Source organism: Homo sapiens, chromosome 1 (assembly GCF_000001405.40).
Source record: "Homo sapiens chromosome 1, GRCh38.p14 Primary Assembly".
Classification (NCBI taxonomy): Eukaryota; Metazoa; Chordata; class Mammalia; order Primates; family Hominidae; genus Homo; species Homo sapiens.
The window spans coordinates 55,512,062-55,529,180 of record NC_000001.11 but is presented as its reverse complement, the minus strand read 5'-3'; the positions used below and the strand labels follow the sequence as shown (position 1 = coordinate 55,529,180).

Sequence of the window (17,119 nt, the reverse complement as noted above, 5' to 3'; positions counted from 1 at the left end):
AAAAGGCAGGACATTTTTATGGCCCTGGGATTCAATAAATGTTAAAACACCAAAGGTGGCAATATAACAAGTATGCAAAATATCCTGAAGGGTCTTAAATCTCAGAGCAGCATGACTTGTATTGAGATTGTCTTCAAGTCTTGACAAGCACAATGAATGGTCCAATACACTCTCCGCTCGGCATCAAGGAGGAAGTGTTGAACATGTCAAATATGAAATGTTCCCCTTTTTAAAATTCATTTTTCTGGAAACCTGAGCTGCCTTGCAGACTCCAAATGAATGCCATGTCCTTTTTGTGAGAAGAACAATCACAAATGATGCGAGCATGTATAAAACAATGATCTTCCTGACGTAGCCCTGAGGGCCAGATCTACGCTTCACGTTCACTGCCAGCCCTGCAGAATATTTGTTCCTTCTGCGAATTTCTGGTCAGATTGAGAACAGATTTCCTGTGTATTTGTCACTTTGGTTTCCCTTGACCAGAAGGGCTGCAAGTTTCTCTTAGTCAGGAGAAATAATAATAACAACAGCAATAACAGTATGACTGCCAATGCTATTGTGCCTACCATTTACTGTGCCCTTGCTATGTGTTAGATACTGTGTTAAACTGGAGGCAATATTCATGGCCATTGGGTCCTCTGGGAAGCAGACACCGAGATGAGTTCAGAATACCAGTGGTATATTGAGGGCAATGTTTGTAAAATTGAAAAGGGAGAGAAGTCAGAATTGGGCAGGGAAAGCCTTCAGACTGAGATGCTGATCTGATACCTGGGAAAGGAAAGGGAGAAGAAGCAGGATTATTTCCTTGGAGGCCATAAGTCACTGCTCTTCTGGCTTTGGTTTCCTGCTTCACAATTTTCCTACAATTTACCCAGAAACCAATGACAAGGGCAAGCCCCTCGTGATATATACAGAGCTTGACTTCTCACAGAGCTCTGGTATCTGTTTGCTCTCACATTCTAGGATTTTTAGTGACTTTCTTGGGATTTAAAAGACAGAGCCCATTTCAGTACTCAGATCCCCACTCGAGGCACTCCTGCCATTCAAATATATGGTGCCAATCCAGGGGTAATCAGCCTGCCTTCTGTTCCCCATCCAGCTCAGGTGGAAGCATGATTGCAGTTTATACCTGTAATTTGAAGGTGAAGCTATAAATGGGATCCAGGCCAGAGTGGGTGGGGGTGGGGATGGGAGGCCATCAGACCAGCATAGATGGCATCTGGACAACAGGAGCTGGTGTTCTTTCATGTGAATAGGTTCAGGTCCCAGGGACACAAATGTCTTCCCTGGGTTACTGCTAGACAAGGCCTACATGCAGATGTGGGGTGGGTAACCTCCCATCAGTTAAGCCTCTGCACACCCTCAGTCCTAATCCTGCCATCCCCACCTGTGAGCTCCCTAAATATGCACACAGAGGCATCCTAAGGGGCATCTGGCTGCAAAATCTTCCCAGAGAAGCAGGATTGGTTTGGAACCTTCTTCCCTAAATGTCACCTCACTCTGGAGGTCCTGACAATCAGAGACACTTGGCAAAGGCAAATAGAAATCAGGACTTCTGTACAATTAGCTCAGAAACAAACCACTCAGGATAAGCTCCAGGGCTTGTCCTCACAAGCCACCAAATTTACAAAGTTCCAGTTATTAGTATTTTTGTTTACCAAAAAATAAACTGAGGTTTTCTGGCTCCAGAGTTCATGCTCTTACCCATTGTACAGTATTGCCATCTGTATAAGTTAGAGTCCAATAAGGAGACAGAAACATGATTTGAATAGTGAAAGTTTAGTATAAATAATTATTAACTAGTAACAGCAATATCAGGAAAACTAGATCCAATTTATGTTCTGAGTTCTGTGTACCATATAATGCTGCAGAGGGAATCGTTAGCAAAACATGCAAGCTTGCATAGTCCTCAGATATTACTAAGAAAGCCCTCTGTGCTAGGCACTGTGCAGAGGTGTTGGAAACTCACTGATTAAAAAAAACACAGGGGCAGCTCCTGCCCTCACAGAGTTCAGGGTCTGGAGAAAATAGCCTCGTATCTTATAGTGAAGAATTGAGAAATACCATCCCAGACGAACTAAGTGGGAACCACTCAAATTGCCTGGAATGCCTGCCAAAAAGGGACTGGCATATCTGAATCCCAACCCAAATCTAATGAATCTGAACTTTGGTGCTCAGAGGCCACATAACACTAACACCGTAATCTGATTAGCTGAGTTAAAGGAAAGTAGGAGTCCAGGAAAGCCTTCTAAAAGACTCATAAGTGCTCACCGTGATTGCATGAGAGCCAGGTGCCAGACACAGTTCTGAGCATTCTGTATGCATCTCTTTCTTTAATCCTCTAGCAGCCTGATTGCCTTCACATGTGTTAACACATTTAATCCTCACACTAACCTTTTGAGTTATTATCATCATCCTTATTTTATACAAATAAGGAAAATGAGGCAAAGAGTAGTTAAGTCATTTGTCGAGGCCACACAGATGGTAAGTAGTAGAGCTTTTCATCATTTTACTGTATTGCTATCCAACATGGCACCTAAAGAGTCAACGGGAATTTTACCAGAACACCACTCACCTCTCTCTGCCCTTCTGCCCATTGTGCAGCCTCCTCCTCTGACTGGCTGAAGGGAATGTACGTGCAAAGACCCAGAGGTAAGAAAATGCACAGACCATTTAAGGCAGTGTGCAAAGACCCAGAGGTAAGAAAAGGCACAGACCATTTAAGATGGCTTGGAGAACCTAAAGTGCTAATCCATGAGGCTAGATTGTAAACACTTAAGGTCCAGAGGATATTGCATACCGCAAAACCTGGACCCAACAGGCTAATGCTTTGAACCTCAGTTTAGCCCTTTTGACCTGCCTAAAAAATGTACTCTTCCATGCCCTGTACTGAGTGCTTCCATCCTTGTCTAAACCACAGCCATGGCATAAAGACCCCTAAGAATCTGAAATGAGGAAACCAGCAACGCCCACCTTCAATATCCTTCAAACAATCCCCAGCCTCAGGGATATCCAGCTCACAACTCTGCTGTCCATCTCCTGTTCTGTGTCATCGTTCTGCCCAAGCCCACCCTTCTGAGACAGCAACCTGTGGTCCAACCCCAGTTATGTATCTTTCCCCCTGCCACCAAGATCAACTTTTGCTGAGTCCTTCTGCTCACTGAGCTATTAATGTGACTAATTAATATAATTCATTTATTCCTTGACAATGACAAATGCCAAGCAGATGATGAAGCAGAAAAAGCTTATGCTTTGGGTCAGGAGAAATGGATTCAAGTCTTGGCTCAGCTGTTGACTAGCTCTCTGAGCCTCAGTTGCCCCATCTGTAAAACAGAATAATACCTACCCCCACAGAGTTGCTGGGAGGTGGAAGTAAGATCGTGTCAGTGAAAAGTTTTTGAAAACTCTTCACAAAAAGGATTTCTATAAACATGAAGTTGGCCATCTAACACTGTCTGGCCCATTAAACCTCCTATTGAGGCTAAATGAGGGTAGGGGTCAGGTTTGAAACCTTTTTTAAGTTTATCTGTGTCTATGGTCATGTGTGTTAGCTCTGGAATCAGAACCCCCTGCACCTGATTCAGTCTCTACCACTTATTATCTGTGAGACCTCAGACAATTTGCTTAATTTTACTGCCTTAGTTTTCCCATCTGTAAAATAGGCATAATAATAACACCTAGCTATGAGGCTGTTGTGAGAATTAAATGCAATATGGCAAGTAAGGTCTTTTGTGTAGTGCTTTTTATATAGTAAATGCTAAATAAATGTGAGTGACTTTTTAAAAATCCTCACAACCTACACAGCGCTGTGCTATTATCTACATTTTACAGATGAATAAACTGAGGCCCACACGGATGAAAGTTTCAACCAAGGACACTCAGGGAGTGGATGACATTGATAAGCTTTGAACCCAGGTCTGCGGAATGCGAATCTGCCCCTATGCTGCCAGCCCTGCTGTCTCCCAAGCTTGGCCAACAGCCTCTCACGTGGAATCATGAGCTCCTCCACGATCTCATTGGTAACATGATCTCTTAGTTAGGCCTGAGCCTAAATCCTCTCCTCTAGAGAAAGGGTCAGATGGAGATAGGATTCCTCTGAGCAGTAGAGAAGCAGGTGAGGGCAGCAAGAAGATGGGCAGGGCTGTGGAAAGCTCAGAACTGAGTGGTAAGAGCAGCCTCAGCCAGAACAGGCAGCAGAGACAGGAGAGGCAGCACTGGAAGGGGCAACAGACGCAGGGGCAGCATGAGCCTGCAAAGGCTAAAAGCCCAGGCCTGCCTCCTTTGCTATCTCCCTCTGTGTCTAGAGGGGCCCTGGTGTTTTATAAAGCTTCAACCTAGATGAAAGAAAAACTGCATTAGGAGGCTCATTTCTTCCACCCAGTGACCAGCTCGGTCCCCATTGGGAAGGATAGAACATACCACGCACAGAAAGCTCTGGCTTCCCCAAGGGGACAGCACCCAACAGCTGTCTCTGCATTAGTACCACTGATCCCACCCCTTGGTGCAAGATATTCTGACCCTCTCCTGGGGTTACCAAGGCTGATTTGGAAAAGTCCTTAGAAATCATCAACTGGAACCCTTGGCTTTTAGGTGAGGAAACTGAGGCCAAAGGTGGAAAAGTATGTGAAGAGAAATAGCCAGCTCTGCGGGCCTTGGAGGAATATTCCAATCCTTTCCCACCTAATTCATTCATTCAACACCAGGTTATAAAGATACAGGTGCTGTGCTCACAATCAGAAGCCAAAAGCTATCAACTAACAGCCCAAAGTCATGATTTTTTGATCCACTAGAATATTTTTAATTTTTAAATTAATTTATATCTTTAAATCAGCAGATTTTTCATAAATAACCAGATATTTGTCTTCTATTTAAAAATTAGACCTGGCCACATGTCCTGGGCCTGAGAACATTTTATCCTGGGCGCACTGCTTCGCCTCACACCTGGCATCCATCCCATGGCACGCTACCCTACCCTTGCTGCACAGGTTCATGCATCAGAAGTGTACTTTGCTCTCTTATATGGTTTGTAACACATGTTTATTCCCTCTACAGCAGCACTTCTTAGATTTAAATGTGCAGGTAAACCACCTGATTATGATCCTGATTCTGTAGATCTGGGGTGGACCAAACCTAACAAACTCCCAAGGGATGCCAGAGCTGCCGCTCCAGCCTGGAAGCACATTTGGAGGAGCAAGGCTCTGAAGAATACCCAGCTCTCTTAAACCTGGCTTGTACATACACCTTGACACCCTTCACTCCTCTTGTTTGTCTAACTTCAACCTCTCTGTAAGAGGCCTCAGTTTAGGTATTCCCTCCTCCAAGAAGCTTTCCCTGATTGCCCATCATAGGTTAAGCTCAGGCCTCAATTCTCACAACGTTTTGTGCTTCCCTCTGTCCCAGGTAAACAAACAAATATGATATCGTGTGATGTCTTCCCCAATCAACTCTTGAGACAGGGACTCCACTCCTGTTGCTTCCTTATCCCCATAGTGTCAGGCATGTAATGGGCACCTTAAAACATGTGTTTGAATGAGGGTCTCTGAACTCTGACTCCTTATTCATTCATGTAGCCCATTGTGGGGGGCACTGCCTCAGACCTTGGTGGAACGGAACTAAATTCAAATCCTTAACAGCTGTCGGTGAACTTTACACAGATTGAGCTCTTCGAATCTAGCTTGATTTTATCTGTAAAATGAGTATTAAAGTACATACTTCTCAGGTCTCCTCTAAGCATGGAATTAAATCATACATCTAGCCCAGTGCCTGGCACACAGTAGAAGATGAATAAATGCTCATTACAATTCACCTCCTGGCTTGTGAGGCCCTGGGTGCTGCACGGCTGTGGAAACAAGCAAAGGCTGATCAGAACAAGCCTTTTCAAGGCTTTCCTGGCCTGGAGATGCCTACAGCCTGGGAACCCATCTCCTCCTCTGATCACAGACAGGACCCAGGCAGGAGGGTGAGTAGTTGCAATCTTGGAGCAGTGGAAGCAACAGGTGGGTGTAGACTTTGAGCTTCTCATTTCTACCTGGCTGTTAGATTTGTGGTTTCAGGCATACCTTTCTCATAGCCTCTCTCCAACTGGTTTTGGAGGGCCTTTTTTCTCTCCTCCTCTTTTTCCTCACCTCTTCCTGCGTCCTGCAATCATCAAAGGTAGTCTTGGCTCAGGTAACATGGTGTGTATTAGGTCCAGGGCCATGACTACACCAAATGTCACGCTCAGGGTTAGGTTCCAGCTCATGCTGAGGTTGTAGGGGAGTGGGTGGGTGGGTGATAGCTGAAAAAACACTTGGGGGGCCATCAGCAGGTGAAATGTAGTTTTATTCAGAAGCTCTCTCATCAGCAGCTTAATTACACTAGCTCTCTCACACTCTCCGCTTTGAGTCAGCTGCTTGCTCTGTGTGCTCCCACACACACCTGCGTGGCCAGCTCTCCCTTATCTTTAGGGTCAGCAGCATAACTCTTTCTCCCTTGGCACAAGCCGGTTCCTGGCTCCCTCCTGTCCATCTGCCAGACAGTCACTCTCCTTGATAGGGGTCAGTAGCTTCACTCTCAGTCTGGGTGCCAGCATCTGCGCAAAAGCCATGTTGAGCCATGCCCAAGAGTGCCTGCACAGTGTCAGCTGGGCAGTGGTACCTTCTACAGACAACAGTAACTCTGAGCCAGGCGATGAGCTTGCACAAACAGGTTATATAACAAGTGAAGTATGTGCCTGCACCCTAAACTCGCTCAGTCACTTTGGCCTGGATGTCTGCCTCAGCCTATTCCTTGACCAAAGCACATCCCCTTACCTTACAGTGTGTTAGCAAGGACGAGGGAGCCAAAAATTCAGGTATCCATTTCTATCTTTGCTCCTTACAATCTGTGTGCCTTTAACTTTTCCAAGCCTCATGTATTAGTTATCTATTGCTGAATAACAAATTAGTCCAAAATTTAGCAACTTGGAACAGTACTCATTATCTCACATGGTACTGATGCATCCAGAATCTAGGAGCAGCTAGGCTGGATGGTTCTGGTTCAGGGTCTCTCATGAGGTTGCAGTTACCCAAAAGTTTGACAACAGCTGAAAGATCTGCTTTCTCAATGGCTGACACACATGGCTGTTGGTGGGAGGCCTCAGTTCCTGGCCACAGCCCCACAACATGGCAGCTGGCTTCCCCCAGGGCAGGTGATCAAGAGAAAGCAAGAGGCACCAACACAGAAAAGTAGTATTTATAACCTAATATTAGAAGTGACATATCATCACTTCTGCCATATACCACTGGTCCCACCCAGGGACAGTGTGGGAGGGGACTACACAATGGAGTGAGTACCAGGAGGCAGGACCACTGGGGACCATCTTGGAGGCTGATAACCTGTTATGGCTTTCCTCCAGGAAGTCCTCCCTGACCATCCCCTCACAGAGATCTGGCCTTGTGTGTGCCCTTCACATGGTACTTCACAGATTCTGTCAGCAAGAGCCATCAGAACTAGGGGGAGGGAGGCAAGCCACACAGTAGGGAGGAGACAGCAGGGTGAGGTCTTAGAGACTAAACAGACAGGCCCTGAGAAGACATCAGGCTGAGGATCACCTGCCATGGAGCAGGCATGGCACATGCTCCCCAGACAGTTCATTTAGCTTTTCCAGCTCCACATAGAGGTAAGAATTCTTGAACTTGTTAAGCCTCAGTTTTCCCATATGCACAAGAGAGGTAAGTTACTTGCCTAAAGTCACAGCAGAGAGCCCATGCCAGGGCTGGAATTCAAACCCAGGCCTGTCTGATGCCTGTGCCCTTCCCTAGTGCAGCCTGCCTCTTGGAGGGAAAGCTACCTGGGCCAGCAAGCCGAGCACTGCGCCTGGAGATCAGGGTGACAGGTAAGAGGGGTGAGGTCTCGAGTGCCCACCTAAGGAGGTAGGCTTTTTCTTGAGGCCACTAGGGAGCCATTTGAAGGTTTTAAGCAGTGTAAGCAGTATGGACTGATCAGTGTTTCGAAAAGATCATTCTGGCAGAAGCATAGAGATGGATGGATGGGGAGAAACTGGATCAGTGGTTCTCAAACTGTGGTCCCAGACCACAGCTTCACCTGGGAGCTTGTTAGAAATGCACAGTCTCACCCCACCACAAACCCACTGAATCAGAAAATCTGGGAGTGCGGCCCATCAGTTTGTTTTCACAAGACCTGCAGGTGATTCTAATGTTCCCTAAGATCTGAGAACCACTGGACTGGAGGTCACAAAATCAGCTAAGAGTTTGTTAAAATACTTTGAAGAAAAAAAATGATAGATGCATAAACCAGAGCAATGCTGATATTAAATTACCAGCTTTAGCCTGGGCAACAAAGTGAGACCCCCAACTCAACAAACAGCAATAACAAGAAAGCAGGGTGTGGCGACAAGCACCTGTAGTCCCAAGTGCTCAACAGGCTGAAGTTGGAGGATCCCTTGAGTCCAGGAGTTCAAGGCTGCAGTGAGCTACGATCCCAGCACTCACTCCAGCCTGGGGAAAAGAGTGAGACCCTGTCTTTAAATAAATAAATAGACTTTATGTCTTATTTAATTTCCATTTCCATTTAAATCATGTGTAAATTATCAACAATGATCTTGAAATATGTAAATGATGATTCCCATTTTTCAGATGTGGAAACTGGGGTTCAAAAGATATTGCAGCAAAGGTCACATATCTACAGGATGACATTGCAATTTCTCATCCAAACAGGAACACGTTCGAAAGGGAAAGGAGATGCTAATATTCATTCCACAGAGTCAGTAGGGCTGAACTGGGACTGTACTAGGCAAACCAGGATATAGGATCAGCTTTCATATACAAACTATGAGAGAGCTGGAATGCAAATCCAGGACCATATGTCTCCAAGTCTCCGATATCTGTGCCCCTCCATAATCTGCCCCCAGAATCTGCTTCTTTGCTCAGCCTAGAGAAATCAGGGGTCTGGGGGACCAAAGTTTTGGATGATGCCCACCAGGGTTTCTCCTGGAGGACTGAGACAGATGGGAGGGAGTGACGCAATTTTTGTCCATCTGCTCCTTGTTTAGGTCTGGGCAACCTGACCTGTTTTTACTTCATCTTTAGTCTGAAACATAAGCAACATGTCACAGTTTTATTCGGAAATGTTACTAAAGGTCAGAGCAAAAGGGAGCATGTAAGGCTGCCCTGGGCCCTTCTCAAACTCTCTCCAGAAGCAACTATGGGCTTTGATGTGCTGCAGCCTCACTCGAGGGTCTTAACAAGCTCTTCTTGGTTCTCATGGAGGCAGAGGCTACCACCACTATCCTGGGAGTGTTTGAGCACTCCATAGTTTGCAAAATGCTTTCACATCTGTGTCTCAGCAACTATTTCCTTAGGGCCCACACCTGCCTATAAAGAAGGGATTGAAGTTTCCCATTGGGCAGAGGAAAGAACTGGGGCTGGGAGGAGTAAAGCAACTTACACAAAAGTCACCAGCCAGTGCGTGGCTGCCCAGCTTGTCTTTCTTTTGTAATTGTCCACTCTACCATTTATTAATTTAGAAATAGAAAAACTTGTCAATTTGCTTGAAGAGGAATAAATCTGAACTCATAGCATCTTTCCTTCCATTTTTAAGATAAAAAAATATTAGGAGTTAGCCTTTAATGGTGAGTTTAACTTCATTCTATTATCTCTAGTTCATTGAGATACAAAAATGGAAAAGTCGTTCAGTCCAAATTCTTTTGATTCCAAGGTCATTATGCAGTCCAGAGGGCTAAAGCTATGATAATGCCTGGGAAACTGATGATAGCATTGTTTTCACATCTACTATATGTCAGGGACTACCTGAGCACATAACATTTGTTACCTTATTCAATTCCCTCTTTCTAGATGAGAAACCTGAAGTGAAGAGGGGATAAGGACTTCCTGGTGGGCACACATGTAATGAGTGGTATAGCCAAGATTCAAACTCTGTCCAATTCCAAACTCAGTGCCCCCCGAGGAGGGCAACATTAGAAAAATCCATTTCAATTCTATGTCTTGGGTCTTGTTAAAAATTCTCCAGGGTCAAATCCTATACAAGGGACAGGAAGAAAAACTAAAGATTCCTCTACACCCTTTCCTGTCTCTTCAAACCTCCAACACCTCCTCCCTCCTCCTCTCTCTTAGCTAATGGCCTTGCTTGCTCTTGTCACAGAAAATAGATGCATTCCAAAGCTAACTTCCACACACTCATACATTCTCTCCAATCCCGACCCTACATCCGGTCCTGTGTGCCCTGCCTTCCCTCCCAACACTCTAGATGGTCCGTCCTGCTGCCACCTGAGGTCAGTTCTGCCACGGATGGTCTAGACTTCCTCTGCCACTTTGCAAGGACACAAGTGGAGTAATTGACACATTCTCTCCTATACTATCTAATTTCCCCTTTCCCTTTCCCATCAACATGTGAACACATTGTGTCTTTCCTACCTTTACAAAACCTGGACTTGACTCTTCATGCCCCTCCAGCCACTACCCCCTTTCTCTGCTCCCCTTTATAGAAAAACTCCTCAAACAAGTTTCTGTCTTCTCCCTGTCTCACCTTCCTCCCTCTGATTTCACCTGAACCCTCTCCAGTCATGTTTCCACCCCACATTCCATGGAAACAACTTTGTTGAGGTCACCAATGACCTCCATGTTGCTAAACTCAATAGTCAATTGCTTCTACCTAACAGCAGCTTTTGACACAGTTGATTACTCTTTCCTTCTTGATACTCTTTCTTAATTCAGCTTCCAACATTTTATTGATTCCCCTCCTCTGTCATTGATGCCTCCTTTTCAGTCTCTTCTGATGGTTCCTTCTCTTCTCCCTTTCTCCTAAAGTTGGAGGGCTAGAGGGCTCTTCAAATCTCTTCTCTTCTGTCTCGGATGGATGGATGGATGGACGGATGGATGGATGGATGAATGGATGGCTGGATGGATAGATGTAAAAACTGGTAGATACTTTGTGATCTCATCCACATCCAATTTTATAGATTTATGTATCATATGCTGAAAACTTCTAAACATGCATCTCTATCCCAGCCCTCTCTCCTAAATCCCTGACTCTCATACCTCTCTACTCAACAACTACATCTAGATATATGATAGATATTTCAGACTCCTAATGTGAGCTCCCCATCTTCTTCCCAAGCCCTGCTTAACTTCCACTTTTCTTCATCCACGTTGAGGGCAAGGCTAACCTTCCAGTTAGATAAGCAGCAGCTTTGGGTCATCCTTGACTTCTCTCTTTTTCCCATATCCTGCATCCAATCTGTTAGAAAACCGTACAGGGTTTACCTTCAAAACAGATCCAGAATCTGACCACTTCTGTTATCATTCCAGTCTGAAGCATCATCATCTTGAGCCTGGTTTATCCAGCAGCCTCCTAACTGATCTTAGGAGGTCAGTTGCCTGTTGCCAGCCCTATCCCTGACAGTCTACGCTCAACAGAGCTACTAGAATGATCCATTTGAAAAATAAGACGGGTAAGTTATTTCTCGATTCAGAATTCCCCATTTGCTCCTCATTTTGCTCAGAGCCAAAGCTAAAGTTTTAACAATGGATTATAGTTTCTACATGTCTGGATGCCCTGTCGCCACTCTGACTTCACCCCTGCTGCTGTCCTTCCCACCCCAGCCACACTGGCCTCCTTGGCATTGTCTGTCTGCCTAGAATTCTTTCTTCTAAGATATATGCATGGTTTCCTCCTTCAAGCCTCTGGTCAAAAGATAACTTCTCTAAAATTATATAATAACTGCCCTGCTCCCAGCACTCCCAGTCCCCCCAACCAGCTCTATTTTTCTCAGAGCATTTAATGTTTTAGAATGTACTCTATATTTTAATTTTTTATTGTGTTTATTGTTTATTGTCAATCTTCCCCCATTACAATGTAAGTTCCAAGACAGCGCAGCTTTTTCTCTCTTCTGTTTACTGACGTAGCCCAAATACCTAGAAAAATGCCTGGCACGCAGGTGCTTAAGAAATAGTTGTCGAATGAATGAGTGTGAGAGAAATGTCCCTTCCCTGAAAGATTTTGCAGCTGGCTAGGGAGGCTTTGGGACAGGCACCACCCAGTTGCCAGATGCCCTTGAATCCCTTCCCTCACTCTCCCATTCATTTCTTCAAACGCCTGCTTAGCAATGGCTCTGCCACTCACCAGCAGGGCTGCCTCTGGAAATTTGTCATCCCTTGAACTTGCAAGATCTTTATAAATAACCCCAATAACCTCTATTTCTTGAGTAATAATTACGCATAGGTAATGTGCTAGGTATTCTAAGTATATTATTTATCCTCCTCACAGCACCATTGAAAGGCAATTTAAAGTTTCAACTTCAACATCTGTAAATGAAGATATTGAAAAGCTGCAGAGCTTGTTCTGATTTACAATTTAGAGAATGATAGAGCTGTGACCCGAAGCTGGATTCACTGGCCCCCAAAGCCTATGTTGCTTTCACTCCTGCCTTGCTCAGAAAGACAGAGTGCTGTGGCCAAACAGCTTCCAACTTCTTATCCTACTTCACTCCCTTTCTTTTTCCGAAGCCATACTCCTTCCTGTAATGAGCACCTTAGGAACATGGACTCTGGACCTACACTCTCTGAGTTCAAGCCCTGGCTTCATCACTTACTTGCTGTGTGTCTTTGGGAAAATTACTTACCTCCCCTACTTCTCACTTTCCTCATCTGCAAAATGTGGATAATAACAGTACCTATCTCAGGAGGTTATGTCTGGATTAAATTAGTTAACACATCTATAGCACTTAAAATTATACCTGGAATGTGGTAGGATTAATAAATGCAACAGTTGTTGTTTGTTATTTGTTATTGTTTTTATCCCACCTGAATCACAAGATTAGTCACAGGGAACTCTAAAGCACTGGAAGGAAACATTCCAAAATATGCAAAGAAATTGTCCCTAGCAGTGAGATTACGGATGATTTTTATCTTCTTTATGATTCTCTACACTTTCCTCATTTTCTGTATTTATGGGCTGAATTATATTCCCTCTGCACCAAAATTCACATGTTTAAGGCCTAAACCCAATACTTCAGAATGTGACTGTATTTGGAGACAGAGCTTTTTAAAAGAGGTGACTAAGTTAAAATGAGGCTAATAGGGTAGGCCCTAAAGCAATCTGACTATTGCCCTTACAATAGAGGGAATTTGGACACACAGAGACACCAGGAATGTGCACACACAGAGGAAAGATTATGTGAAGGCACAGCAAGGAGGCAGCCATTGGCAAGCTGAGAAGAGAAACCTCAGAAGAAGCTAACCCTAACGGCACCTTGACCTTGGACTTCCAGTCTCCAAACCTACACGAAAAAGAACTTCCGTTATTTAAGCCACCCAGTCTATGGTGTGTGTTATAACAACTTAAGTAGACTAATGTATTATACTTTCTAAATTATCTATAACGAATGTGTAGTATTTTCTTTCAAAAATCCTCTTTTCCTAAGTCTACAAAAATAATAAGAGCTAATGAAGGAAAGGTGGATAGGGCATAGACATTAAAGAACCTTAAGTCATCTGTACTTGTAAGATTCATGCATACAAGTATACACCTGGCACACACATTCCCACACATTCATCCTCACACCCTAAGGAAAGAAATGGGAAATGTTAATATGACATAGATAATCCTGCTGTTGGTGTTGAGTCAGTTTTAATAATAGAGCCTCATTTTCTTCATCAATAAAAGGGAGTAATACCAAAACGTCTCAGAGGGGCATACTGTGAAAAATGAAGGGGGTTGGGAGAAGGAAAGCCTTCTGTAAGTGACAAGACAACCCAGATGTGAAAAACTACTATTCTTGGGAGATGCCAGAGAGCCCTTGTTTTTATTCTGATGATGATGATGACATCAAAGTGGAAGACAGAGAGGTACAACCCTGGGGAAACCTCCTATCGATCACACACCCTGCAAGTACCGCACGCTCGCTTTCTCTTCCTCCCATCTTGTATTGGCAAAGTCCTCCAGACTCCTTATAAATGTACTTAGCCACCTCATGAAGTGTGGTTGAAAAGGGAGAAGTTTTTAGTTTTTAGCTGAACCCAAACTCTTAAAATATTCATGAGCCTGAATCTCTATAGAATAGTATTGAAGACAGACATGCAGCCATAAAACAGAATGACAGAGACAGGCCTTGCAATGTGTGCCTTTTCTGAGCTTCAGTTTTCCTTCCCATACAACAGGAGCTGACACTAAGCCCCACACAGCTCACTCAGCAGTCCCTGAGACTCAGTGAGACCCTGGAGCTGACTGTGCTCATAAATTATGTTTCCAAATACCAGGGACGTTTTTAATCATTAGAGAACATGCACAACAGTTACAATGGCAAACCATATCCTTCACATTATCCCACAGGAGGTCTAATAGTAGGTGGCACAGGGGAAGGATTAAGAGATAAACTACAAGCTTCCTATTAAAAACAGAGGATGATCATTCTCAGCAAACTAACACAGAAACGGGAAACCAAACACCGCATGTTCTCACTCGTAAGTGGGAGTTGAACAATGAAAACACATGGACACAGGGAGGGGAACATCACACACCAGGGCCTGTCAGGGGGTGGGGGGCAAGGGGAGGGAGAGCATTAGGACAAGTACCTAATGCATTTGGGGCTTAAAACCTAGATGATGGGTTGATAGGTGCAGCAAACCACCATGGCACATGTATACCTGTGTAATAAACCTGCACTTTCTGCATATGTATCCCAGAACTTAAAGGAAAATAAAAATAAAACAGAGGATGCTGCCTGGTGTGTGTGCTACCACTCTCCCTCTCACACTCATGGCGGACTTATCTAATTGAGCACAGAGCTCTCTCAGGGTCACAAGGACCAATGTGATTGTTATAAAGGAGAAGACAAGGTTGGGGAAAGGAATTACCAGAATAGGGATAAACTCAGAGAGGAAACTGTGATCAAGATTTTTTTTTTTTAGACGGAGTCTCGCTCTGTCACCCAGGCTGGAGTGCAGCGGTGTCATCTTGGTTCACTGCAACCTCCACCTCCAGGGTTCAAGCAATTCTCCTGCCTCAGCCTCCTGAGTAGCTGGGATTACAGGCGCCTGCCGTCATGCCTGGCCAATTTTTGTATTTTTTAGTAGCGAAGGGGTTTCACCATGTTGGTCAGGCTGGTCTCGAACTCCTGACCTCAAGTGATCCACCCACCTCGGCCTCCCAAAGTGCTGGGATTACAGGCATGAACCACTGCACCCAGCCGGTCAAGATTTATATGATGCTAAGTCATGAGTCTGCTGGCCTAGATAATGCCACTCATATTTACTGGTCCAGAGGCAGAATTATTCTTTAAATCTGGATGTATGCTCAGCCTGGGTGTAGAAGCTAAGGAATTTCAGATTAGGCCTTTTGAAATCCTTTCTGGACCAAGGACATACATCAATCATTCCATCAATCCCCACACAGGAAAATTACAGTGATACAGAGTCAGGGTTATAGGTTATGCTTACTCCACTACGACCATCACTAACAACAGCAACCACTGCTAGTACGTAAGTTATCTATTGCTGTGTAACAAATTACCCCCAAATTTAACAGCTTTAAACAATAAATATTTATCATCTCACATGATTTCTAAAAGCCAGAAATCTAGGAGCAGCTCAGCTGGGTGGCCATGGCTCAGGGTCTCTCATGAGGTTGCAGTCAAGATGTCAGCTAGGGCTGCAGTCATCTGAAGATGTGATTGGGGCTGGAGAATCTGCTTCCATAGTAGCTCACTTATATACCTATTGACAAGGGGCCTCAGTGCCTTCACATTTAGACCTCTTCATAGGGCTGCTTGAGTATCCTCACAACATGGTAGCTGGCTTCCTTCAGAGCAATGGCAAGGTGGAAGCTGTGATGCCTTTTATGACCTAACTTTGGAAGGGGAATTAAGCTTCACATATTAGAGGGAGGGTGTCAAAATTTTGTGAACCTATTTTAAAACCACTAAAAGTATCACCAGAAATGCCTATGAAACATAGTGGGAATTGGGGAGGGGGAGATTGACAGGTAAAATGCTCTACCTCGACAAGCTTCTGTGTTCTAGATATAATGTGTTTGACACCAATGTAGTATACTTAGAGTATGACTGCTAGTAGATGGATGGTGCATTGTATGTTTTCAAGCCAGAAGGGACCTTCCAGATTCTCTATCCAACCTTGTAATTTTACAAAAGGGAAAACTGAGGCCCATAGAGGAGCTGAGATTCTCCCAGGTTAAGGTACCCTGATTTCCTGACTCTGGGGCCACAATATTTCTCTGTAGTTCTTGCAGGGCTGCTTGTGAAAGGGCTTTTTCCAAGATTAGGCTGAGATGCCCTAAAGAAGAAAACAAGTTCCAGAGAGGATGATTTCAGGGAAAATAGAGACAAAATGAATTTTGGAGATTCTCAGGACCTGCTGAGACCAGCTTCTGGCCTTGAGATGAGCTGCCCTCCTTCTAGAGGATGGCCAAGAGTGAGGCTGGCCAGGAGAAGGGGAAATGAGCCCAGCTGCCTCAATCCACCTCACAGTAGCCAGGGCAGTAATTGTTTCTTGATGTTTAACATTAACCAGAAACCCCTGCTATATGGCCAGTTCTTAGGAACTCAGGAACACAAGGATCAGCTCAAGCCAAGAGTTTAAAATGACAAACAGACAGAGGTAGTGAGAGAATATTTTATACTGTTTTCCAGGTTGTTTATTATGTATTTTATACATTTTACGCATCTTTATGCTCTATAACAATTTGACATGCTCGCAGTACTTTATAGGTTTTAATTACATAAGTGACGAAGGAGCTGTTTATATCTAAGATCTTATCCAACCTTCCTAAGGACCCTGGGAAAGTAACAAAAGTAATAGTTATTCTTCCAATGGTTATCAGCAGAGTGGAGGAGCCCACAGCTCTGGAATCAGACTGCCAGGGTTCAGATCTTGCCTCTACCATGTACTAACTGTGTGATGTTGGGGAGAATCATTTAACTTCTCTTTGTCTCAGTTTCTTTATTGGTAAAATGTAAGTGATAATAGTATCTGCCTCATGAGATTGTTGGGAGAGGTTAACAAGTTAATATTTGTAGAACACAACAGGGCCTGTTTCATTCTCCAAACTTTGTGGGGCCATTAGTCACTACTGCTACCAGATGCTTTAGGTCACACATGGTCTCTAG

The 17,119-nt window shown here is 44.3% G+C and overlaps 1 annotated feature.

Annotated features, from left to right (window-relative positions):
• Positions 3,006-3,172: a silencer, noted in NCBI's record as "fragment chr1:55991682-55991848 (GRCh37/hg19 assembly coordinates)". NCBI's record gives its function as "represses an EF-1alpha promoter that drives an FKBP-Casp9 reporter gene in an ReSE screen in phorbol 12-myristate 13-acetate-treated (for megakaryocytic differentiation) K562 erythroleukemia cells {active_cell/tissue: K562(+PMA)}" and the evidence as "EXISTENCE:reporter gene assay evidence [ECO:0000049][PMID:32094911]".